The 22,237-nt window shown below is 41.7% G+C and overlaps 1 protein-coding gene across 2 annotated transcripts, besides 2 other annotated features; it reads right to left on the reverse strand.

The window, feature by feature from the left end:
* Positions 9,402–10,188: an enhancer, noted in NCBI's record as "H3K27ac-H3K4me1 hESC enhancer chrX:134184927-134185713 (GRCh37/hg19 assembly coordinates)". NCBI's record gives its function as "activates a minimal SCP1, AML or CMV promoter by ChIP-STARR-seq in primed H9 embryonic stem cells {active_cell/tissue: H9 hESC(primed)}" and the evidence as "EXISTENCE:reporter gene assay evidence [ECO:0000049][PMID:30033119]".
* RTL8A (retrotransposon Gag like 8A) lies at positions 9,437–10,640 on the reverse strand. 2 transcript variants are annotated; one of them, NM_001134321.2, is made up of 2 exons: positions 10,422–10,640; positions 9,437–9,873 (listed from the first exon to the last, which is right to left on the reverse strand). In NM_001134321.2, the coding sequence occupies exons 1-2, from the start codon at positions 10,611–10,613 to the stop codon at positions 9,814–9,816; spliced, it is 252 nt and encodes an 83-aa protein (NP_001127793.1). In that variant the 5' UTR covers positions 10,614–10,640; the 3' UTR covers positions 9,437–9,813. The 2 variants fall into 2 exon arrangements, with proteins under 2 accessions (NP_001127793.1, NP_001071640.1); NM_001078172.2 differs by having other exon boundaries at positions 9,437–10,640.
* Positions 10,826–11,005: an enhancer, noted in NCBI's record as "active region_29979". NCBI's record gives its function as "activates an Ori minimal core promoter by ATAC-STARR-seq in GM12878 lymphoblastoid cells {active_cell/tissue: GM12878}" and the evidence as "EXISTENCE:reporter gene assay evidence [ECO:0000049][PMID:35858748]".

The following is a 22,237-nucleotide window of genomic DNA, read 5'->3' on the forward strand; positions in this document are numbered from 1 at the left end:
TGCAGATTAAAGTGTTCTTTATTTTTCTGCCTCTCTTTCTTAATTTTTTTTTAAATAATATGGATTGTAGTAAAGAGAAAGAAAAGAAAGAAAAAAGAAGGAAGGAAGGAAAGAAGAAAGAAAAGGAGGAAATGAGAGAAGGGAGGGAGGGAGGAAGGGAGAAAGGCAGGAAAGGAGAAAAAAGAAAGCAAGAACTCAAGAAAGAAAGTGAGAAAAGAAGGAAGGAGGAAGAGAGAATCTGGCTCTCATTCTCTATCCTGCCACCCTGTGAAGAGGTGCCTTCCACTGTGATCCTAAGTTTTCTGAGGCCTCCCCAGAACTGTGAGTCAATTTAACTGTGAGTCAATTAAACCTGTTTTCTTTATAAATTACCCAGTCTTGGGTATTTCTTCACAGCAGCATGAGAACAGACTAACACAACTTAATCCCCAGTGTGGCAATATTGAGAGGTAGGGCCTTTAAGAGGTGATTGGATCATCTCTTAAAGTAAATGGATTAATTCATTCATAGATTAATGGATTAATGGGTTGTTCTGGGAAAGGAACTGGTGGCTTTATAAGAAGAGAAAGGGAAAGGGAAATCTGAGCTTGCAAGTTAGCACACTCAGCTCCTTCACCATGTGATACCCTGCACCATATTGGGACTCTGCAAACAGTCCTCACCAGCAGGAAGGGTCTCATCAGTTGTGACCCCTTGACTTGGACTTCTCTGCCTCCATAACTGTAAGAATACATTATTAAAAAAAAAATTACACTGTTTCAGGTATTCTGTTATAAGCAACAGAAAATTAACTAATACACTCATTCAAAAATCTCACCTATTTTTTATTGGTTTCTCATTTTATTGACTGGTGGCAACTATTTATATGTTCTTTTTTTAAAAAAAATTTTAGTTTCAGGGGTACCTGTGCAGGTTTGTTATATAAATTGCATGTCGCAGGGCTTTGGCATACAGATTATTTTGTTGCCTAGGTAATAAGCCTAGTACCCAATAAGTAGTTTTTCAATCTTCACCCCCATCCCACCCTCCAACTTCAAGTAGGCCCTGGTGTCTATTGTTTCTTTCTTTGTGTTCATGTGCACTCAATGTTTAGCTCCCACTTGTAAGTGAGAACGTGGTATTTGGTTTTCTGTTCCTGCTTTAGTTCACTTAAGATAATGGCCTCCAGCTCATTCCTTATTGTTGCAAAGGACGTGATCTCATTCTTTTTTATGGCTGCCCAGTATTCCATGGTGTATATGTACCACATTTTCTTTATTGAGTCTACCATTGATGAGCATTTAGGTTGATTCCATGTCCTTGCTATTGCTAGTGCTGCAATGAACATATGCATGCATATGTCTTTATGGTAGAACAATTCATATTCCTTTGGGCATGTACCCAATAAAGGGATTGTTGGGTTGAATGGTAGTTCTATTTTAAGTTCTTTGAGAAATTGCCAAACTGCTTTCCACAGTAGCTGAACTAATTTACATTCCCACCAGCAGTGTATAAGTGTTCCCTTTTCTCTGCAACCTTGCAAGCATTCTCTTATTTTTTGACCTTTTAATAATAGCCATTCTGACTGGTGTGGGATGGTATCTCATTGTGGTTTTGATTTGCATTTCTCTAATGATTAGTGATGTTAAGCATTTTTTTCTTATTTATTGGCTGCTTGCATGTCTTCTTTAGAGAGGTGTCTGTTCATGTTGTTTGTCCACTTTTTAATGAGATTTTTTTTTCTCATTGAAATTGTTTAAGTTCCTTGTGGATTCTGGATATTAGACCTTTGTCAGATGCCTAGTTTGCGATTATTTTCTACTATTCTGTAAGTCATCTGTTTATCTGTTGATAGTTTCTTTTGCTGTGCAGAAACTCTTTAGTTTAATTAGGTCCCATTTGTCAATTTTTGCTTTTGTTGCAATTGCTTTTGGTATCTTCATCTTGAAATCTTTGCCAGGACTTATGTTCAGAATGGTATTTCCTAGGTTTTATTCAAGGGGTTTTATAGTTTAAAGTTTTACAGTTAAGTCTTTAATCAATCTTGAGTTGACTTTTGCATATGGTGTAAGGAAGAGGTCCAGTTTCAGTCTTATGCGTATGCTAGCCAGTTATCCCTGCACCATTTATTGAATAGGGATTCCTTTCCTCATTGCTTGTTTTTGTCAACTTTGTCGAAGATTAGATGGTTGTAGTTGTGTGGTTTTCTATCTGGGCTCTGTATTCTGTTACATTGGTCCATGTGTCTGTTTTTGTACCAGTACCATGCTGTTTTGGTTACCGTAGACTTGTCGAATGGTATGAAGTCGGGTAGTGTGATGCCTCCAGCAGTTTTGTCCTTTTTGCTTAGGATTGCTTTGGCTATTCGGGCTCTTTTGTGGTTCCATAGAAATTTTAGAATAGATTTTTCTAGTTCTGTGAAAAATGTCATTGGTAGTTTGATAGGAATAGCATTGAATCTTTAAATTGCTTTGGGCAGTATGGCTATTTTAACAATGTTGATTTTTTTCTGTAGATGAGCATAGAATGTTTTTCCATTTGTTTGTGTCATCTCTGATTTCTTTCAGCAGTATTTTGTAATTCTTGTTGTAGAGATTTTTCACCTTCCTGGATATCTGTATTCCTAGGTATTTTATTTTTTTGTGGCTATCGTGAATGGGATTTCATTCTTTATTTGGCTCTCAGCTTGGATGTTGTTTGTGTATAGAAATGCTACAGATTTCTGTATACTGATTTTGTGTCCTGAAACTTCGCTGAAGTTGTTCATCAGATCCAGGAGCTTTTGGGCAGAGACTTTGGGGTTTTCTAGGTGTAAAATCATAGTGTCTACAAACAAATAGTTTGACTTCCTCTCTTCCTTTTTGGATGCCTTTTATTTCTTTGTTTTGTCTGATTGCTCTTGCTAGGACTTCCTATATTCTTGATGTTCATATCTTCCAGGAAAAGACCACTAGGGACATCTTGTCATTGAACAAATATTGAGTTTATTATTCATTGCAGTGAAGGAGAACATACCATAGAGAACTGTTGGGAATCTCAGCAAAAAGGTGTTAGAAAATGTTTGAAGTGTTTGGGCGTATATTAGGTGATTTTTGAGAAGTTTAAGGAAGTGAAGCTTTGCTCTGGCTTGGATGCTGTCAGGAAGCAGGGCTAATTGTATGCTGAGTGTCTTAATAAACATTTTATCTGGGAGGGCAGACATTATTAGTGTTTTTTTGTGTCCTGTTTAATACATCTCTGCCAAACTTAATATCATAGTCTCCTATACTTTCCTCTAATATCGTATTTTAGCTTTCAAATTTAAGTCTATGATCCATACTGAATTAATTTTTATGTATGCTGAGAGGTAGGGACCAATGTTCATTTTTCAATATAGGTATCTAATTGATCCAATAGCACTTATTGCAAAGACTATTCTTTCCCCCCAGTGAATTGCAATGGTGCCTTTGTTATAAATTAGGTCACCATATATGTGTGAATTTCTTTCTGGACTGTTTATTGTATTGCATTTTTCTGTCTATCCTTGTACCAATACCATACACCTTAATTTATGTTCCTTTATAGTAAGTCTTAATATCTGATAATGTAAGCCATCTAACTTTGTACTTCTTGAATATTACCTTGGCTATTCTAGATCCTTTGCCTTTCCATATAAATTTTAGAGTCACTTACCAATGTCTTTTGTGTAAGAAATCTTTGTCTAACCCAATATCATGAAGATACACTCTACTCTTATGTTTTCTTCTAAAATCTGCTTGATTTTTATTGGGATTGCATTGAATCTAAAAATAAATTTAGGGAAAATATATACTGTAACAATTTTGAATTTTCCAATTCATTAACATCTTATATCCTTCCATTTATTTAGTTGTTTAATTCATCTTAATAATGTTTTGTAGTTACTAGTGTTGAGGTATTGCAGCTATTTTATAGATTTATTTCTAGATATTTGATACTTTATAACACAACCATAAATGGTATTATTTTGTTAAATTTTATTTCTACTTTGTTGTTATTAAATAGAAATACAATTAATTTTTTATAACAGCTTTATTGAGATATGATTCACTTACTATAATATTACCCTTTAAAAATATACAAGTCAGTGGTTTTTAGTATACTTGCAGAGTTGTCCAACCATTACCATTATCTAATTTTAGAACATTTCTATCACCCCAAGAAAATACCCTATGCCTCCCTATTTTCTCCTTCCCCAAGCCCCAGGCAACCTCTAAATGATTTTCCACATCTATATATTTGTGTATTCTGGAAGTTTCATTTAAATGGAATCATACAATATGTGGTATTTTGTGACTGGTTTCTTTTATTTAGCATTATGTTTTCAAGGTACATCCAAGTTGTAGCATGTATGTAGCATTCATTCCTTTTTAAGGTTGAATTCCATTGAACGGATATACTATATTTTATCTATTCATCAGTTTCTGGAGTTTTGGGTTGTTTCTCATTTTTTGTTATTATGAATAATGCTGCTATGAACATTCATGTACAAGTTTTTGTGAGGTCATATATTTTCAGTTCTCTTGGATATATACCTAGGAATAGAATTACTGTATGGCAACTCTCTGCTTAACAATATTAATAATTACATATTATCACCAACTCCTACTGATGACACTTATGTTGCTTCAAATTTTGGCTACTGCAAACAGGGCTGCTGCTTATGATCTATAGGTTGCTCACTTCAGAAGTGCCTCTTACCAAATGAGTGACTGAGGCTACAATCTAGCCCCTACCCAGTCCACCATGTGAACCAGTGGGGCTGCATACACACTTAATAAGGTTTGCTTTTTTTGAAGCACAAAATTACTAACAGTTTAACAAACTCAGCATTCATGGGGCTGCTTTCCCCAAGAGGAGGTACCTTTTATTAATTTAGATAAAGGTACTATGCAGCTTAGCAGAGGTACTAATCATACATACATTTTTAAAAAATGCTATTGTCAACATCCTTGTTGGAATTGCTTGGTTGTAGGATATGTTTGTCTTAAACTGTACAAGGTGCTGCCACATTCATCTCCAATTTTGTTGTACTATTCTACACTGTTATAAGCGGTATATAAGAACTCTCATTTCTCCATAACCCCTCAACACTTAATATGGTCATTTTTACTTTTTTTTTTTTTGAGATGGAGTCTTGCTTTGTCACCCAGGCTGGAGTGCAGTGGCATGATCTCGGGTCACTGCAACCTCCGCCTCCCGGGCTCAAGCGATTCTCCTGTCTCAGCCTCCCGAGTAGCTGGGATTACAGTCACACACCACCACACCTGGCTAATTTTTGTATTTTTAGTAGAGACGGGATTTCACCGTGTTGGTCAGGCTGGTCATGAACTCCTGACCTCAGGTGATCCATTCGCCTTGGCCTCCCAAAGTGCTAGGATTACAGGCATGAACCACCATGCCCGGTCTAATTTGGCAATGTAATGCTTTTGAAATGATACTGTTTTTGTTCTATTTAAAATCTCTCTGATTACTATTGCAATTATCCATCTTTTCAAATGTTTCTCACTTGGAATTGATTGTTCACATATCTCTTGGATACCTTCCATTTGCTCTTCCAGATTCACTTTCCACTCTCCTCTATCCTGGAACAGGGTCAGCTCTGTTCCTAGAGGCTGACCTTTATGGACTGCATAAACCATTCCCTTGCTCTCTGGCTTCTGGTTGAGTTTGTCCAATGGTAGAGCTCCATCTCTACCAGATTAAGAGGTGGCTGTGGCTGAGTTCCTCTATCAAAGGCCACAGGTCCTTTCCAGGGATTCTCTTCTATAGCTAGAGCTCTCTGTGTTCCAGTAACCCCTCCCTGCCCTTACCCTTTCATGCCTTGGTGGGAGGCAACAGCTCATTACTGTTGCTAGCCTCAGGATAATTCAAAATCCATTGTTGGTTTCAGTATTAGTCAGCTATTGCTACAATAATGCTGTATAAGAAATCTCCGCCAAATTAATTAACAATCATTTGCTCTCTTTGCTCATGTGCTATGGGCCATCTGGGGCTATTCTTCTCCAGGATGCAGTTCATGTGGGCTTGGCTCTGGGATTCAGATTGTGTTTAGATCTGTTCCATGTGAATCACTGTATGGCCCAAGCTGAGGGATCAGCAACAACCGGGGGCATGCTCTTCTCATGGCAATCATAGGAGGGCAAGAAAACAAGCAAAACCACTCAAGCATATTTAAATCCTCTCTTCATGTCATGTCTGCTCATGTTCCATTGAAAATAACAAATGATGGCCAAGCTTAGAGCCAGGGGAGCAGGGAAGTACACCCACCATAGGGGTGTGGGGAAGTGAGGAGTGAATATTTGTGGAACAGTTATCCAATCTATCATAATTTATCTGAAACCTACCCACACATCTGTATATAGTCTCTTCTTTTAATTCTCCTCAATCATCCCATTTGTGTATACCTTCTGTTTCTTTTTGGGACCCTGATGGATACTATATACCCCTCACAAATTTCTATAGATTTTTCAGTTTTCAATGCCATACATTTAATCTCCCTGTGTTTTAGAGCAGCCTTTTTTTTTTCTTTCATTTTGTTGTGTGCATCCCCCTCTCTAAGGCCCTACTCCATCTCTGGCATCAACCTTTCCTCCCGTCTTGTGGCCCGCACTAACACCCTAGTGTGTATGTCTATATTTTTCTTCATACTTAGCTTATTGTGTGTGCGTGTGACTGTGTGTGTGTATTCATATGTAGGCCTTTGGGGTTAACATCTGTTTAACAAAAAATGGGCCACACATTATTCACAATAGCAAAGACTTGGAACCAACCCAAATGTCCAACAATGATAGACTGGATTAAGAAAATGTGGTACATATACACCATGGAATACTATGCAGCCATAAAAAATGATGAGTTCATGTCCTTTGTAGGGACATGGATGAAATTGGAAATCATCATTCTCAGTAAACTATCTCAAGAACAAAAAACCAAACACTGCATATTCTCACTCATAGGTGGGAATTGAACAATGAGAACACAAGGACACAGGAAGGGGAACATCACACTCTCGGGACTGTTGTGGGGTGGGGGGAGGGGGGAGGGATAGCATTAGGAGATATACCTAATGCTAGATGACGAGTTAGTGGGTGCAGCGCACCAGCATGGCACATGTATACATATGTAACTAACCTGCACATTGTGCACATGTACCCTAAAACCTAAAGTATAATAATAATAAATTAATTAATTAAAAAAAAAACAGAATACAATTTTCCAGTTTAATTTGACAGATGGTTTTTTCTTTAAAAAAAAATACAAGTAGTAACTGCCTTTGTTAATAACTGCCTTTGTGAATAAAAGGTAACACTACAAGTAGGTATTGCATAAATATTAAAAATTCTCCATCTTATTCTCCACTAAAAAAAAAAATGGGCCACATTATGCAGTTTTCTGCATATTGTGTTTCTTACTGAACAAAACCTTGCAAAAATCTCTCCAAAGTAGCTAGCATAGGTCTATCTTCTTCCTTTTAAATGGTGAATTAAAGAAAAAAAAAGGAGTACACCACCTCCTCCAGGTAACACCACATCAAAAAACTAGTCAATGTGGCCTCTCCTCAATTCAGACAATTTTTTTTCTTTTTCTTTTCTTTTTTTTAGACAAGGTCTTCTGTCGCCTAGGATAGAGTGCAGTGACGTGATCATAGCTCACTGCAGCCTCTAATTCCTGGGCTCAAGCAATCCACCCACCTCAGCCTCCTGAGTAGCTGGGACTACAGGTGTGCACTACCACACCTGGCTAATTTTTAAATTTTTTGTAGAGACAGGGTCTCACTGTGTTGTCCAGGCTGGTCTCCAACTCCTGGCCTCAAGCAATCATCCTGCCCAGGCCTCCCAAAGTGCTGGGATTACAGCCGTGAGCCACTGTGTCCGGTCTCAAATTAGAACATTTCTGAATGGCTGTCCCAACTTTAGATATCCCGTGGGATCAGGTGAGGCGTCTGTTGTAACTGTATGTGTCTTCATAAATTCTCCCTCTGCTGGATCCTACTTCAATCACTCCATTACAAGTGTTGTTCATGAGAGTCTGTTTCTGAGGGAACTTAAAGTTTAATACTTGGTGTTAGCGGTGGTCATGAGGCAGATTATAAAATTGGATTTTGGAGCTTGATTACCTGCCAGGTGGCTAGAAATGGGAACTACATCACTATTGGTAAAGGAAGTACTGATAACCTGCTATGTGGTAGTGGTGCAATTGTCAAAACTTTCACCAGTGGTGAACTGAGATAGGATACCAATGGAAGGAAATTTAGTGACAGGTGCAATATCTCAAGAATTTGAAAGGTTCAGAGGAAGTAGTAATTATAAAGATTATGTGATCATATGGTTGTTACTAGAGGCTATTGAATTGCAGAGAGACAATGAAAGGCTAAGGGTGATTAATCACCAATTTAAGTTAAAGTTGAAAGACAAAGAGTCTCATCTCCCCAAGGCAGAGGACAGAAAACTATAAGGATTGGACCTGTAAGCACCAGTCCTTTTTGTGGTGCAATCAGTCTGTTTTCATTTTCCACCCACGCATCAGGCAAATCTATCTACACACTCAGCCTATTCCCACCTCTTTACATGTTCTGGAAATTCACACAAATTAGAAATAAGGGACAGAGTTGGATGCGTGATCTTTTAATACCAGAGTGCTGTGCTATTGGGTTCTACTGGAATAAATTTCACCAACAAATTTGAACATCAAATAGTTGATGGAACAGAGGCTGTTTATAGCACTATAGATTTAAGAGATTAGCCTACAGATAAAAAGTAATGAGTATTAACTTTTATTCTGCTCATTAGAGAAAGTTATAATTGTATTATAACTAAATTATAATACAATTATATAATTGTATTATAATTGTATTATATACAATTGTATAATACAATTATACAATATAATAATATAATATAAATTGTATTATAACCTAAATTAATAATCACAGCTCTGCATCCCTTTCCCCATTACCTCCATATTCAAGGTTTTATAAATATAAAACACCTCTTTCATAGAACACCTCTGCAATTCTGATGTTTCATTAATGAATCTCTGGTTAAATAAAACTTTGACAGGTGTTCACAAACAAATGTATGGGATTTCTGGTATGTAGCAATTTGAGATTTGTGTTTTGTAGCCATTTTTTGAAAATAAGGAAACCTTTTACAAAAAGCTTTTCCACAGCTTTTGACATTGCCTTGGCCAAAATCAGATCAATGTCTGCCTCAAAAGTGGCATGAAACTGCGTGGTTTAGAAGGGTCATCATTTGGCATTAGATGGTTGCCGATAAGATCTCCATCCCTAGGACACTCCACAGGACTCAGTCTTTTGTTTTTATAATGCAAGAGTCAACTTCAGCCGTAGTATGACAGGGCACATAGCATTTGAAGAAGACATGGACCCTATTTACAGAACCAGGGAGGGAAAGGTGCCATATTCATTGAGACTCCATTTCTATTTAATAGTGTCTGACATTTATTAAAAATAAGGAAAAAACCTTTGTACAGGTAGTGTATTAGAGCAGGGAAGGGAGCAGGGCTTACTGTGTTGAACAAAAGGCACCCATCAGAGAGACAGCTGCAAATTCAGAAGAAAACAGGATTCTAGGCAAAACTAACTGGTCCACAGGAGAAAATGAGAGATTCGATTTGGTTGCCAGGCACACTTAAGCCCTGGCAGCTATGTGGCAGGAACACAAGAGGTCTCTGGGGATGGGGAGGAAATGGGTCTCGCTGAAGGTGACAGGCTCCTTGGGGGACGGCCAGCTGTCTGGATCACTGTCCAGGGGCTGTGTCCAGCTCGGATACCTCCGAGGTGAGTCCACATCACTAGGAGCCACAGTCTGTTGGTGAGATGCGGTGGATGGCGATGGCAGTGGTAGCGTAGGTCTGTGGGCAGAATGATGTAGTTGGCTGGCAGTCTGGAGGAGTGGAGGTGGGTTGGCAGCAGCGGCTGTGGGTGGTCTGTCCAGTATGTAACAGGAGCCCAGCTTGCACCTGAAGTGCAGGACAGCGTCCAAATGTGCATGGAGGGGCTGGGCTGGCAAAAGAGGGCGGAGGCAGCGCGCTCTAGAGTGCGGCCCAGGAGCTGCAGCAGGAGCCTGGAGCGCTATTCCTGGAACAAAGGCAAGCACTACGCGGGAGGGGACAGGAGCGCAGGGGACATCGCGGCGGCTCGAGGGGGAGGGAGGCGCGGAGGGAGGGCGCCTGTGGAGACCCTAGCGGTGGCCACTGGCACAGCGAACTCTTCCCAGAGCACCCGCCCCCAGGCCCAAGGGTCTCCCGGCCTAGAAGTCCTCGTCCTCCTCCCATCCAAAGACCCGCTTCATCTCGGCCAGGAAGCCCCGGTAATCATTGAGCAGGGGGCTCTCCTTCCTGATGTAGGGGATCACCCACTGCAGGGCTGGCCCCGTGAGGCGGGTGATGAGGAACGTCACCTTCAGGGCGTCGTTGGAGAACGTGTTCTCGTCCACGAACATGTAGGAGCTCGTCTGCACGATGAACTCCGGGAGTCGGTCGGTATCTCCGTCAAACGTCTCGGGAAAGGGAATCGGGTTCCTCCAGCGACGCGCCGCGGGCCGGAGGGGCCCGGCCAGGAGGGCCTTCATCAGCTGCACCCGACCGTCCATCGTGCCGCGCGCGCTCCGCGGAGTTTCGCTGGGTTGCGTGGGGGTCAGCGCTAAGGCGTCGCCGGAAGCGCATGTCGAGGGTGGGGGCCCGGGCCGGGACGGGCTGTGGGCGGAGCCATGGGGGAGAGCCCAGGCGCTTGCGCGAGCTCCGCCCACAAAGACTTGTGGTCACTAGTGCGCTGGTGCGTCACAGGGCGCGGAAGGGCAATGCCAGGAGTTCTGGGGTGGGTCTCATACTGTGGAGGAGGCCGTGTAGCCTCAGAGGAGTAGGGCGGAGATTATGCGAGGCGCGCCAGTGGGGCTCTCAGGACAGCAGGCGGTGTGCGGGGAGGCTGAGCCTGTTGCCCCTGGAGAGCAGAAGATCCATGTTCTGGAGATCGATGCGGCCTCCTGCCGCACTCCTGACCCCTCACTCTTTAGTCCTTGGACATTGCTTTCAGAACCCTGGGCTCTGGACGCCACTTGAGTAGAGTTCTGTGAACACATTTTTTTTTGCTTCTTCGTATATGTCTCAGTCAGATTATTTGCTCCCTGCTTTGCAACATTAATGGGAAAATCCCAAATATTAGCAAATATAATCCAGAGCAGCATATTCAAAGTGTAATGTGCCATAAGCAGTTAATGAAAGGTGGGTTAAATTCTAAGAAATCTCTTAATTTGCTATATTAAGACACCAAAAGGAGGACAATCAGTTGATTATCACAAGAGAAGTTGAAAGAGGAAAATGAGAATGGTTGGGTGCTTTCCAAACATGACATTATACGTGTTAATACATAAGAATAAAGGAAAGAAATAACAAAGTTTCACAAATTGGAAAGGGGGAAGGAAAATTAAGCATTACACTTTGTATCCTAATTTAGTTGTGTGGCTGAGTACAAAATTAATAGTAATTCATCACTAGATTTCACATATGCAGAAAATAACCTATTAAAATATATAATTTGGCTTTGAGAGGCCGAGGTGGGCAGATCGCGAGGCCAGGAGATCGAGACCATCCTGGCTAACACGGTGAAACCCTGTCTCTACTAAAAATACAAAAAATTAGCCCGGCATGGTGGCGGGCACCTGTAGTCCCAGCTACTCCGGACGCTGAGGCAGGAGAATGGCATGAACCTGGGAGGCGGAGCTTGCAGTGAGCCGAGATCGCGCCACTGCACTCCAGCCTGGGCGACAGAGTGAGACTCTGTCTCAAAAAAAAAAAAAAAAAAAAAAAAAAAATATATATATATATATATAATATAAATTTGGTTAAAGACCCAATTTGAAAAGTAATTCAAAATAAATAGGGATTTAGAAATAAACATTAAAAATTATAAATTGCCACATAAAACTTTTTTTATTGCTGAAGAGGAAAACAAAAGAATACTCAAAAAATGAAAGGATATCCCTGGATCTGGGATAGGATGACTCAACATCATAAAGATGTTAATTTTCTTTATGTGAGGAGATGGAGGAGTTGTAGATTTATACCATGAACTTCACATACTGCCCCAGGAGTTGGAGAAGCTGAAGGAGGAGACCTAGCAGGGCTAAATGAACTACAGATCCAGCTATTGCCCCATACCAACAAGGTGACACAACAAATTTGCCTTCACCTCTGTGAATTGCAACAGTACCTGGTGACACCATAACCTTTCACATGCAAAATATCTGGCAGGCCTGATTAAGGCAGTAGTATTCAGAGAAAGCTGTTCTGAAAAGTGTTGTTCCATTAATGCTTAGTTGATACAATATAAATACATTACAACTGTGGTGATAAACCAGTTTACCCCACTGTAATACAGGCAACACTTTTTTCTTCTGCTTGGCTGGTCCCATGTCAGCACTGAGCTACTCAGGAGGCTGAGGCAGGAGAATGGCGTGAACCCAGGAGGCGGAGCTTGCAGTGAACCGAGATTGCACCACTGCACTCTCTGTCGCCTGGGCGACAGAGGGAGACTCCATCTCAAAAAAAAAAAAAAGTAAGGACACATTATATATAGGATTGCATATAAAAGTACATGCATCCATCCAGATATGTAGTCAGGGGTATTCTGGGTGGATTCACGGCCTCACCACTGCAGTCCTGCCTCTGCTAAATTTAAATAGGCCATTTTGAACATTGTCTCTGATAATGTTACTCTTGTATAATATACTGAGAATAAAAAAATGTAACTGTGGTAGATTGTATTATTGTTTGCTAAATAGTCTGGTTGCTACCCTTCAGTGTTCCTTGCTAGGTAGCACTCCCTGTCCACATACTTGTCCTGTTGAATGCATGTTGAATGCATTACATGGTCATGTGACTTGCTTTGACAATGAAACATGGGCAGAAATGTTATGTGTCACTTCAGGGTAGAAGCTTTAAAATATATCAGATGGGTTACCATGTCTTTCTTCCTTCTTTCCTGGTGACTGCTAATATCTCAAACAGGCTTCTCTGTCAGCTTGGATCCTGGAGTGGAGATGATGTGGAGCAGAATCTTACATGACCCACAGTGGGCATGCTGTATGAGCAAAAACCAAAATTCTGTTGTTGGAATATAGTGAGATTTTTGGTTGTTTTTTTTCCTCAGCCTACCCTGTCTGCACCAACAACAAAATTATTTTGCCTCTTCAAAATTTGTAATGACATACTGAAGGTGGAAAGGGGCTTTGGCCATTTCTTCTTGACAACAACTTAATCTGAAGAGATTTTAGAGTAATTACTATAGGATTAGCTACGGAAGGAGATTATGTTTTTTCCTTTGTACATTAGTAAAGTTGGCTGTTAAAATTCATTGCTTGGGAAGGCTGAAGTGGGGCTAGAATTTCCACACTCTGATGATGGTCTTGTGAATTGAAACACCATTTAAAAAACAGCATAGCAATATGTAGGAGTCACTTTGACTCACTGCTATGGACTAAATTGTGTCCCCCAAAATTAGTATATCAAAGCCCTAACATCCAACATGATGGCATTTGGTGATAGACCCTTTAAGAGGTAATAAGTGTAAGATGATGGTGTGAGGTAGGGCCCTCATGATGGGATTAATGTCCTTATAAGAAGAAACACCAGAGAGTTTGCTCTATGTCTCTAGGATGTGAGGACACAATGAGAAGAGGGTCATATGCAAGCCAGAAGGAGAGCCTTCATCAGAACCTGACAATGCTAGCATCTCAGACTTCCAGCCTCCAGAACTGTGAAAAAAAAAAAAATATATATATATATATATATATATATATATATGTTGTTTAAGATAGTAGTGCCCAACCTTTTTGGCACCAGGGACTGATTTCATGGAAGACAATTTTTCCATGGATGGGGCTGGGGTGGGGGATTTCAGGATGAAACTGTTCCATCTCGGATCATCAGGCATTAGATTCTCATAAAAAGCATGTAACATAGATCCCTCACATGTGCAGCTCACAATAGGGTTCCTGCTCCTATTGATACGGGAGTGCTGTGAAGGGAAGAGTGTGGTCTCTTTAAATGATATGGGAGGGGGGAAGGGAAGTGCTGGGTAGAGAAAGGTGGGTCCCTGGCTAGAGCTCCACCCCCACGGACCTAGGTAAGGACAGGCACTCCTGCTTTCACGCCCAAATGTTGCATTTTCCAAGACCATCCTGGCCTGCCATGCCCCCATCCTGAGCCTATAAAAACCCAAGACCTAGCAGGCAGACCCAAGTGGCTGGACGTCGTGAGGAACACATTGGTTGTCGAAAGCACGCTGGTAGAAGAGCACATGGACGGGCACTGGCAGGCCGGCAGGCCATGGACTGGTGGAATGACATGGAATTTGGCCAGAGTGGTTAGAGAAGAGTTGGGCCACCGAGTGGCCTGACTCCAGGGGAAAACCATCTCCTATCTGGCTCCCCAATCTGCTGAGAGCTACTCAGTAAAACCTTGCACTCATTCTCCACGCCCATATGTGATCCAATTCTTCCAGTACAACAAGACAAGAAACCCTGGGATATAGAAATCCTTCTGTCCTTTTGATAAGGAAGGAGGTCTAATCGAGCTAACACAAGTCGCCTATGGACGGCTAAACTAAAAGAGCACCCTGTAACACATGCCCACTGGGGCTTCAGGAGCTGTAAACATTCACCCCTAGATACTGCCATGGGGTTGGACCCCCACAGCCTGCCCGTCTGTATGCTCCCCTAGAGGTTTGAGCAGCGGGACACTGAAGAAGCCAGCCACACCCCCATTGCATGCCCTGCGAGGGGGACAGTGGAACTTTCGCGGTTCGCTATGAGAATCTAATGCTTCACACTGATCTGGCAGGAGGCAGAGCTCAGGCATTAACGCTTGCTTGCCGGCTGCTCACCTCTTGCTGTGCAGCCTGGTTCCCAACAGGCCACAGACTGGTACCGGTCTGCAGCCTGGGGATTGGGGTCCCCTGGTTTAAGCCACTTAATCTGTGTTATTTTGTTATGGCAGTCCAAGCTGACCAAGACATTCGTTAATCCAACACTTGAGAATTAAAAAGAAAATAATTTAACAGAAGAAAATATTATTGAGGCATAGAGATATCCATAACAAGAAAATCTATAATCCTCAAAATATGAAAACCCTAAATATCCAATGAAGGAATAGCCTACACATTAGTATTTACTAATACAATATATATGCAGCCATTAAAATAATTATGAAAACTAAACAAATTAGCAAAATATTATCTTAAAAAGCGGAGTCCAAAATGGTATAAGATGATTAAAACTATGCCAAAGTTAAAATTTGCTGTGTGTAGCAGCACCAAACATCTGATGTTATGAAGTGGCTGTCCAGTCAGGTAGCACATTTCTAATCCTCTTTGAATCCTCCTGGGTCTATGTGCTTAAGTTTTGGTAAAAGGAATGTATGCAGAACTTCCATGCCTGTCCCAGATAATAGAACAAAAGAGAACGCTATAGAACTGATTTCATGAGGCTGGCAAAACTTGACATGAGAACCTGCCATGGACATTATGAGGCAGGAAAATCACAGGCTGATCTCACTTATAAACACAGATGTAACAATCTGAAACAACATAACAGCATATTGAATCTTGCAATATATAAAAATCACAATATTTTATCATAAACAAGTTTGGTTTATTCCAGGACTATAGAATAAAAAAATCAATATAATCCACAATTTTAATTAGAAAATGGAGGAATCATTCATATAATGATTTCTTAAAATCTAGAATAGAAAAAAAAGCATTTGACAAAACTCAGCTACCATTCATGATAACTATTAGCAAGTTTGGAAAAGTATAGAACTTTATTATTTTGGTAAGCAGAATTAAATTCGTTAAATGGGTAGAAGTTTTTTGGCATTGTTTGTTCTTTAAACATATCAGGCCGGGCACGGTGGCTCATGCCTGTAATCCTAGCACTTCGGGAGGCTGAGACGGGTGGATCACCTGAGGTCAGGAGTTCGAGACCAACCTGGCCAACATGGTGAAATCCCTTCTCTACTAAAAATACAAAAATAGCTGCACGTGGTGGCTCACCCCTGTAATCCCAGCTACTTGGGAGGCTGAGGCATGAGAATCGCTTGAACCTGAGAGGCAGAGGTTGCAGTGAACCGAAATTGTGCCACTGCACTCCAGCCTGGGTGACAACAGTGAGACTCCATATTAAAAAAAATGGTACATATACACAATGGAGTATTATTCAGCCATAAAAAAGGAATCAGATCCAGTGATTTGCAACAACATGGGTGGTACTGGAAATCATTATGTTAAGTAAAATAAGCCAGGCACAGAAAGACAAACATTGTATGTTCTCACTTGTTTATGGGATCTAAAAATCAAAACAGTTGAACTCATGGACATAGAAAGTAGCAGGGTGGTTACCAGAGGTTGGGAATGGTAGTGGGAAGGTATGGAGGAGGTCGGGATTGTTAATGAGTAAAAAAAACAAAAGACACACAAAAAAACCCAGAAATAATTAATAAGACCTAGTATTTGATAGCACAGCAGGGCGACTATAGTAAATAATAACTTAATGATATATTTTTAAATAACTTAAAGATTGTAATTGGATTGTTTTTAACTCAGAGTATAAGTGCTTGAGGGGATGGATAAAATAATAATAAATTAATAAATTAGAAAAACATTTGGGGAAGAAACAAGCACCACTCGAACACAAAGAGGATAAAAAGCAGAGAATACCTCCCAACTTATTGTTAGGGTCAGCAAGACTTTAAATGCAAAATTTGACAAGGAGAGTCTGATAAATAGAAATTATGAAGCTATCTTACTTAGGAATATAAATGCAAGCATCCTAAGCAAAACATTACCAAGCCAATTCCAGCTATATATAAGACAATCAAGTTGGGTTTATTCTGGGAGAGCAAGTTTGGTTTAGCATTAAGAAAACCTCTCAACATAATTCATGATACGATTGTGAGGTAGGAGATTGGCAAGACTTATTTCCTAGACCAGGGGTCCCCAAGCCCTGGGCCATGGACTGCTACCAATTTATTAGAAACCAAGCCGCACAGCAGAAGGTGAGTGGCAGGTGAGCAAGCATTTCCACCTGAGCTCTGCCTCCTGTCAGATCAGTGGTGACATTAGATTTTCATAGGAGTGTGAAACCTGTTGTGAACTGTGCATGTGAGGGATCTAGGTTGTGTGCTCCTTATGAGAATCTAACTAATGCCTGATGATCTGAGGTGGAACAGTTTCATCCCGAAACCATCCTTCCCCAACCCCCATCCTTGGAAAAATTGTCTTCCAGGAAACCAGTCCCTGGTGCCAAAAAGGTTGGGGACAACTGTCCTAACCAGACAGGAAACTGGCCAGAACCAGCAAGTGATTCTGTAAGCAATCTCTAGTTGCCCTCACTGCCCATCAGCATAAGACACTCCCACCAGTGCCATGACAGTTAACAAATGCCATGGCAATACCTGGAAGTTACCACCCCTTTCCATGGCAACACCAAAGGTTACCACTCAGTTTTTAGAGATTTCTGAATAACCTGTCCCTTAATTTGCATGTAATTAAAAGTGGGTATAAAGCTAGCCAACAGCCCATACACTGCCACTCTTGGTGCACAGCCTATGGGCTTGCCATGCTCAACAAGGGGCAGCCACTGGGCTGTAACACTGTCACTTCAGTAAAGCTGCTTTCTTCCATTGCTGGTTTGCTCTTGAAATCTTTCCTGAGTGAAGCCCATAACCTGCCCTGCATCATCTGGTGCCTGATGTGGGGCTAGGGAAGATGGTGGCAATAGCAGAGGTAGCTAGGCAGCAAGATGCAGAGAGGCAGCGACTGGAGAGAGAAGGCAGTGAGGTAGCAAGCCAGTGAGAGGCAATGAGATGGCAAATGGCAAGAGACAGTGAGACAATCTGTGATTGAAGCTGCAAGAACTGTAACACAGAGGTTATAAGGCTAAACAGCTGCTAATGCTGAAGAGCTATAACACTAGTCTAAGGCTCTTTTCAGAGCCATCATCTTTCCTGACAGGTGGAGGCAGCAGAGCTGTGTGGACGGGTCAGTGGCTGCGCAGTGCTACCACCTTGTGTGGGACCAACTGTCTTGGCTGGCAGGTCACTGGTGTGTCAGCTGGACCCCCGTAACAGCCGAGCCTGCCCAAGCTGGTGGAATCTGGGGAGAACTTCACCCATGTCCCACATTGGAGACTGGTCAGCACCATTTAGGCACTTGAAGATGGGTGAGTGTCCTCTCTGCCCCTCCTTCAATATCAGGTAAAACAAGAAATAAGGCCTCTGTCTAGGTGGTCAATTCAATGTCCGCCATCATTTGGGTGCCCGGAAGAGAAGCATGCCTGACCACCTACATTCTTGTCACCCCTTCTCTTGATCCTTTCTCCTCTAATGCTATTTTATTTGGGGCATTTGGTGAGGGAATCCTCAATGGGTGTTACTTGGGTGCATTGGGGTTTTTTGCACTGGGCTGTTGTCTACCCCCTGAATGCTCTGGCGTTTTTGACATTGGCATTCCCTCTAGGATTGTGGGTTATAGCCCCTCCCCCTGGGAGAACCTTGGTCTTTGATAGGGTTTTGGTCTGTGTCCCCATCCGAATCTTATGTTGAATTGTAATTTCTAATGTTGGGGGAGGGACCTTGTGGGAGGTGATTGGATCATGGGGGCAGATTTCCCACTTGCTATTCTTGTGATAGTGAGTGAGTTCTCATGAGATCTGGTTGTTTGAAAGTGTGTGGCACTTCCCCCTTTACTCTCTCTCTCTCTCTCATGCTCTGCCATGATAAGACATGCTTGCTTCCCTTTCACCTTGTGCCATGATTGTAAGCTTCTTGAGGCCTCCCAGCCATGCTTCCTGTACAGCCTAAGGAACTGTGAGTCAATTAAAACTCTTTTCTTTAGAAATTACCCAGTCTCAGGTAGTTCTTTATAGCAGTGTGAGAATGGACTAATACAGTCTTGTTTTTTCTGCACTGAAGTTGGAAATTATCATTTTCTATAACAGCCAGTTGTGGGCCTCTCCCTGTGTTCTGTCTTCCTTTCTGTCCAATAGACTGCCTTGCTCAAGCACATCTTGGACTGTTGGTTGAAGGGACCAGGGGTTCCCAGACCCCTGGCCTGACAGATGAGTACCCGCAGCAGTGGATGAGTGGCCTCCTTAACACTTTCTTTGGTGTCTCTACTGCTGGGTGGATTATCCAGTAGCTGAAGGTCTCTGAGGTCTCCCTTTGAGCCATGTTGTTCGCCCATACTCTTCCTCCGTTCCACAATCACTTTCTATTTTTTTAAAATCCATCTTTGCCCAAACTGAAATGCTTTCTTCACTCTCTTTGGAATTCAGACCCATCATTCTACTGCCCACTCATATCTCATGATCCACTTTTGTAATGCTTTGCTAGCTATACTAACACCTTCTCTGCAGGACGTGAGAATTTGAAAGGGAAAGTAAGGCTCTCACTAAACTTAGGCAAACTTGAAAACCTCCTGTACAGATTCTTACTGGACAATGGGAACAATGGTGACCATCCTGGAAGACTCAACAGTAGGGTGTCTTTTAGGCAATTGGTGCAAATTCAAATTAGAAACTTTAAAAAGAAAAGGAACTCATTTTCTATTGCAACACCATTGGGGTCCAATATAAATTGGGAGACCAGGAAATTTGGTCTAAAAATGGTTCTTTATGTTAAAATATAATACTATTTTACAATTAGACTTATTCTGTAAAAAAGAAGGAAAATGGGGAGAAGTTCCTTATGTGTAGGCTTTTATATGCCCTCTACCAGGATCCTGACCTAAGGGATAGCTGTAGAATGTATCAGACTCATGTTACTTCCAGGCACCAAGAAGCTGTGCCAGGTATCATAGGTGACCCCCTCCTAGCTGCTCCCACTGGGAGGTCCATGCCCCCCTTGGAGCCTCCTCAGTCCTGCAGTTCTGAGAGGAATTCTGCCAGTTCTCCAGCACAGGATTCCACCCCAAGGTCATCAGGCACCCCTACCCCTTATCCAACTAGTCCTGTTGTATACCCCTGTTACCTGAGAATGTAAGCCCAACCAGTACTACCAGGAGCAGGGCCCCGTATCAGCCCCTAAAAGTGAAACTGTGTCCATTGTGGGTAGCTGATGGAGATGGGGGAACAATCAGAGTATATGTGCCATTTACTGTATCAAATTTGGCTTTATGCAAGGAGAAATTTGGCTGGTTTTTGGAGGATCCATGGAAGTTTATAGAGGAGTTTGATACATTTACCATGTCCTCTGAAATAACTTGGCATAACTTGTGCTTATTATTATCCACTTGCTGTACCATAGACATAGAGGAGAAACAAAGGATTCTAGGTATTACCCATGAATTTTCAGATGGAGTGGCCAATAATATCCAAGGCCATGCCATTTATAATGTGGGGGGAGAGGCAGTTCCTTATTTGCACCCTCAATGGGATTCCCAGAGGGGTTCCCAAGATCTCAAACACAGAAATTACATGCTAACTTGTTTAGTAGAAGGTATGAAAAAGTGTGTGGTTAAACCAGTTAGTTGTGACAAGGTTAGAGAAGTAACTCAGGGAAAATATGAAAATGCCACTTTATTTCAAGGCCACTTAGTGGAGGCCCTCAGGAAATATACTAATGCAGATCCTGACTCTCTGGAAAGGTGAGCTCTCCTGGTCATGTATTTTATTACTCAAACTATCTCTGACATTAGGAGGAATTTACATAAGGCAGCAATAGAGCATCAAATCCCCATGAGCCAACTTTTAAATATGGCCTTTGGAATTTACAATAATAGGGACAAGGTGGAGAAAGAGGTGAAAACTAAAAGTAATAGCTAAAAAGTGCTATTATTCGTGGCTGCCTTAAGCCCCTTACTGCCTTAGGGTTACAAATGTCAAGAAAGTGTTACGAGAGTCGTGGTTGGGATGCCCAGATGAAAGCCTCTGACTTCTTGGCCCCTGGGCCAAAATCAATGTGCCTATAAGCAAGAGGAACACTGAAGGAAGGACTGCCCCAGGCTTGAAAGAGAGTCTGAACCACTCAGACCCATAATGGCTGAGAGAACAGAGGACTGACAGGGCCTGAGGTCTCTTATGGTTTCCAATGGACACCTTACTATCTCCATAGAGGAGCTTTGGGTAACTCTTGATGTGGCAGGCAAAAATAATGAGTTTTTGGTGGACATGGGAGCAGACTTCTCAGTTTCAACCTATTTCTCAGGGCCATTGTTTTCCCACTCTTGTACCATAATGTAGATTGATGGCCAGCCAAAAGTTAGGTGATTCACCCACCCCCTCAGTTACACTGTGGGGAATCATGTGTTTTCCCATATCTTTCTGCTTATGTCTGAGTGCCCTATTCCTTTACTGGGAAGAGACTAACTTTCCCAATTACAGGCCACAGCTCAATTTGGAGAGCCTTATGAGAAGGCAATAGGCCAGGGAAAGACACTTCTTCTAGCTCCAAGTACATGCCTTAACACAGATAAATAAAAGACCTCTCTTTCACTGCATCTTACTTCTCAAGTAGACCTCTCTGTTTGGGACATGAAAGTTCTTGGTAGAGATGTTAATGTACTCCCAGTCCAGGTTATTTTGAAACCCAGAGTTAAGTATCCATACAAAAAACAACGTACCTTGAGACCTGAAGAGCAGAGAGGCATTCAACCCCTAATAAGGAAGTTCCTAAAGTATGGATTACTACAGTCCCGTCAGTCCCTACGTAACACCTCCATTTTGGTTGTGAAGAAACTGAATGGGGAATACAGATTTGTTCAGAATCTGAGGGCAGTTAATGAGGCAATAGTCCCAGTCCACTGAATAGTTACTAATTCATACACAATATTGACCCAAGTCCCTGAAGATGTTAATAGTTCATGGTATTAGGCTTAAAGGATGCTTTCTTTTGTATACCTTTACACGTGGACACCCAGTATATCTTTGCTTTTGAATGGACTGATCCAGACATTCATGCTGCATCTCATCTTACGTGGGCTGTTCTTCCTCAAGGTTTTAGGGACAGTCCCCATTTCTTTGTCAATACATTGGCAAAAGAATTAAGGAAACTCTAGTTAAATAATGGGTCTCTTTAGCAATATATGGATGATCTATTAATTTCCAGCCCAACCAGGGAAGGCTGTGACAGGAACACAATCCAGATTCTTAATTTTTTTGAGAAGATGAGGTTATTGGGTATTCCTACAATAAAGCCCAAATTTCTGCACAAAAGGTTAAAT

Source organism: Homo sapiens, chromosome X (genome assembly GCF_000001405.40).
Source record: "Homo sapiens chromosome X, GRCh38.p14 Primary Assembly".
Classification (NCBI taxonomy): domain Eukaryota; kingdom Metazoa; phylum Chordata; class Mammalia; order Primates; family Hominidae; genus Homo; species Homo sapiens.

Bases quoted from the DNA above. Each gene is read 5' to 3' on its own strand.
- RTL8A (NM_001078172.2), bottom strand. From the start codon at position 10,613: ATGGACGGTCGGGTGCAGCTGATGAAGGCCCTCCTGGCCGGGCCCCTC.